Source organism: Homo sapiens, chromosome 7 (genome assembly GCF_000001405.40).
Source record: "Homo sapiens chromosome 7, GRCh38.p14 Primary Assembly".
NCBI lineage: Eukaryota > Metazoa > Chordata > Mammalia > Primates > Hominidae > Homo > Homo sapiens.
The window spans coordinates 47,251,700-47,254,992 of NC_000007.14; the positions used below are offsets into that span (position 1 = coordinate 47,251,700).

The 3,293-nt window shown below is 48.8% G+C and overlaps 1 long non-coding RNA gene across 1 annotated transcript, besides 1 other annotated feature; it reads right to left on the reverse strand.

Moving 5' to 3' along the window:
• Nucleotides 1-400: 400 nt before the first annotated feature.
• On the reverse strand, nucleotides 401-2,915 carry LOC124901628 (uncharacterized). The gene is made up of 2 exons (XR_007060318.1): nucleotides 2,692-2,915; nucleotides 401-2,080 (listed from the first exon to the last, which is right to left on the reverse strand). It is a non-coding gene; the product is annotated as an uncharacterized LOC124901628 (long non-coding RNA).
• Nucleotides 2,797-2,976: a silencer, noted in NCBI's record as "silent region_18166". NCBI's record gives its function as "represses an Ori minimal core promoter by ATAC-STARR-seq in GM12878 lymphoblastoid cells {active_cell/tissue: GM12878}" and the evidence as "EXISTENCE:reporter gene assay evidence [ECO:0000049][PMID:35858748]".

A 3,293-nucleotide genomic window follows, 5' to 3' on the forward strand; every position in this document is an offset into this window, starting at 1 on the left:
ACTTATGAATGCATAAACAATATATGGTATATTCATCCAATGGAACGCACTTAGAAATAAGAATGAAGGCAATGCTGATACAGGAAACCACACGGATGAACTTCAAAAACATTATACGAAGTGAAAGAAGCCGGACACAAAAGACCACATATAGTATGATTCTACTTATATGAAATTTCTAGGAATTTCTGTCTATAGAGATAGAAAGCAGGTCAGTAGTTGCCTGGAGTCAAAAATGGTAGCTGGGATTGATTGCAAATGGGTAGGAGGAAATTTTGGGGGTGGTGATAATGTTCTAAAACTGAATTGTGATGGTTTACTAAAAGTCACTGAATGTACATTTCAAATTGGATGAATTTTATGGTATGTATACCTCAATAAAGATGCTTGAAGACATACATAGTTTTAAGAAATATCATTTTAATTGCTATATAATATTCCATCAAATGGATATGCCACATTTTATTAAGCAACTACTGAATAACTATTGAATAATGAGATTATTTCCAAACTTTCATTCTTTTAAATGCTTCAACCAATATGTTTGTTTGATTTTGTGCAAATCTGGTTTTTAATGGTCTCTTTAAGTTGATTCCCAGAAACGGAACATAGGAGAAGGGGATGCCCATTGACAGGGCTCTTGTTACCTAGCTGCCATCTGTTTTCTTTAACATTATATAAGGTTAAACAGCTCAGCAATGAATGGAAACATACATGTTAAAAATTGAGGGCCAGGCACAGTGGCTCACTCCTGCAATCCCAACACTTCGGGAGGCTGAGGCAGGTGGATTGCACGAGGTCAGGAGTTCAAGACCAGTCTGGCCGACATGATGAAACCCCATGTCTATAAAAAATACAAAAATTATCCAGGTGTGGTGGCGCATGCCTGTAATCCCAGCTACTCAGGAGGCTGAGGCAGGAGAATCACTTGAGCCTGGGAAGTGGAGGTTGCAGAGAGCCGAGATGGCTTGATAGGGTTTGGCTGTGTTTCCCCCCAAATCTCATCTTGAATTGTAACTCCCACAATTCCATGTGTCATGGGAGGGACCCAGTGGGTCCCTGTGAATCACAGGGGCAGGTCTTTCTCGTGCTGGTCTCATGATAGTGAATAAGTCTCACATGAGATCTGATGGTTTTATAAAGAGGAGTTCCCCTACACAAGTTCTCTCTCTTTTCCTGCCGCCATCCGTGTAAGACCTGACTTGCTCTTCCTTGCCCTCCACCACGATTGTAAGGCCTCCCCAGTCATGTGGAACTGCAAGTCCACTAAACCTCTTCTTCTTCCCATTCTGGGGTATGTCTTTATCAGCAGCATGAAAACGGACTAATACAAGGTGCCACTGCACTCCAACCTGGGAGACAGAGCAAGACTCTGTCTCAAAATGAATAAATAAATAAATAAATAAATATAAATAAAATAAAAATTGAGGGGTTTGGAAAGGCACTTCTCAACAAACAAACCTTACTTGGGCACATTTGGATTATAAAAAATAAACCCCTTCTAAAAACTATAAAAAATAAAAGGGGCAGAATCAATAATTTATCCTGATTTTTCTGCAAAAACTATTTCAGGGACACAAAATCAGATAATTACAACAAGTAAATGCCTGAAGTAAATAAATAGAGTAATTCTAGCTAGTACACAAAAAGGAAAAAAATAGAATGTTGCCATGGTGTGACCCCCTTAAGTTACAATACTAAGAGGTCTTTACTCGTCATAACAGGAATAGTCTGGTGTTCTGGGGAAGGTGTTAATACCAGAAATAGGGGAGCAGGGGAAACACCCCAAGTTTGCTTGGTAGGATCTTGCAGAGGAGGCTCAGGAGCTGAACTGGATAATTCAAACAAGTCATCTGGCTTCTCAAAAGTCCTCATGGGGAAGTGTCAGATCATGCAGGTGTCCACAGTGGACTGGGACCTGGGCAGCACTGAGTTCCCCTTACTGACTGCACCATCCATGAGCTGAGCCTGCCTTCTGGGGAAGGAGGGGCATCTCCAGGAAGGGCAACCGGGCCAGGTCAGAAGGCCTCCTGTGTCTCCGGGGCAGTGTGGTCTTCTTTCAGGAGAGAGTGAGTCATCACTGAAGGAGAACAGAGCGAAGGCTGCACAGTCCAGCAGTACTGGGCCCAGACTCTCAGCCCCTTTCTGGCCCTGCCACGCTAAGATAGGATCATCTCCCTCATGGATGCAGCTGATGTGTGCGTGAGCACACGCTTGCCAGGCAACTGGCCAGCACCGGCTGTCTCTGCAACGCGGAATTTACAAATGCCCTTCCCGTGAGGAAGGAAGAGTAACCCGATTGATTCTCCGCTACCAAGCAAGCCCTCTGCCACTTTACAGTGCAGTAACTGCTTACAATGATTCCCCTTCTCGGGAATCGCTTTTCTAGCTCTTCCTCTACAGTCGGGGAGCTGAGCCCCCAGAAGCCAGCAGTCACACTAGTAGGGCAGGGCAGAGCCCGCTTGACCCCTTCCTTGGGAGGGGGGCCTAGCGCCGGGGCGCGTTTCCTCTTCGCGCTGCCCTGTCCTGGCCCGCCACTGGAGCCGGTAGCCCGCAGGGCAGCGGGGGCGGAGGCGACCCTGGGGGTGGCCTGTGGGCCCCCCTGCGAGATCTCGACGGTTCCTATCTATTCCATTCTCCCTCCCCGTCTCCCTGAGCCCCGCCCCTGGGTCCCTTGCTGGAGCCGCTCACCCCCTCCCCCGCAGGCGTTGTGCTGGGCCCGGGGCAACTTCCCCAGAACGTCCGGCCACCCTGCGCGGAAGCACGCCTGGCAGAGCTGCTGAGCCAGGCTCAGGTCGCGGAGTAGCGGCGCTCCGGACCGGCGGAACACGGCGTCCTCGGCTCAGCTTCGGAAGCGCCCCCGCCCCGCCCGGCGAGCCCGGGAATGGCGCGCGCGCCCCCTGCCGGCCACACCGGGACCAGCGGCACCCACAGAGGGCGCGCGGGCAGGGCGCGAGGCGGCAGGCCCCTCTCTTCCTCCCGACCCTCGCAGGCTGAGCACATCAAAAGGCAGGCTTCCTTATGGGTGCTTTCGTTGAAATTCAGCATTGTGGCCAGTCTTGAAAGTACAAAAAAAAAAGAGGGCAAATGTGCTGCACCACTTTAACACAACTTCAGTGACCCTGTTGTCTTCTTCTCTCAGATCTTCCTTCTGCTGCTGTATCTGCATTTCCTCATAACGCCAACAATAATGAGAGCATGGCCCGGGAACCCGCAAACTTTTTTCTGGAAAAGGCCAGATAGTAAATGTTCCTGGTTTTGTGAGCAAGATGGAAAATCGCCCATAGACAATA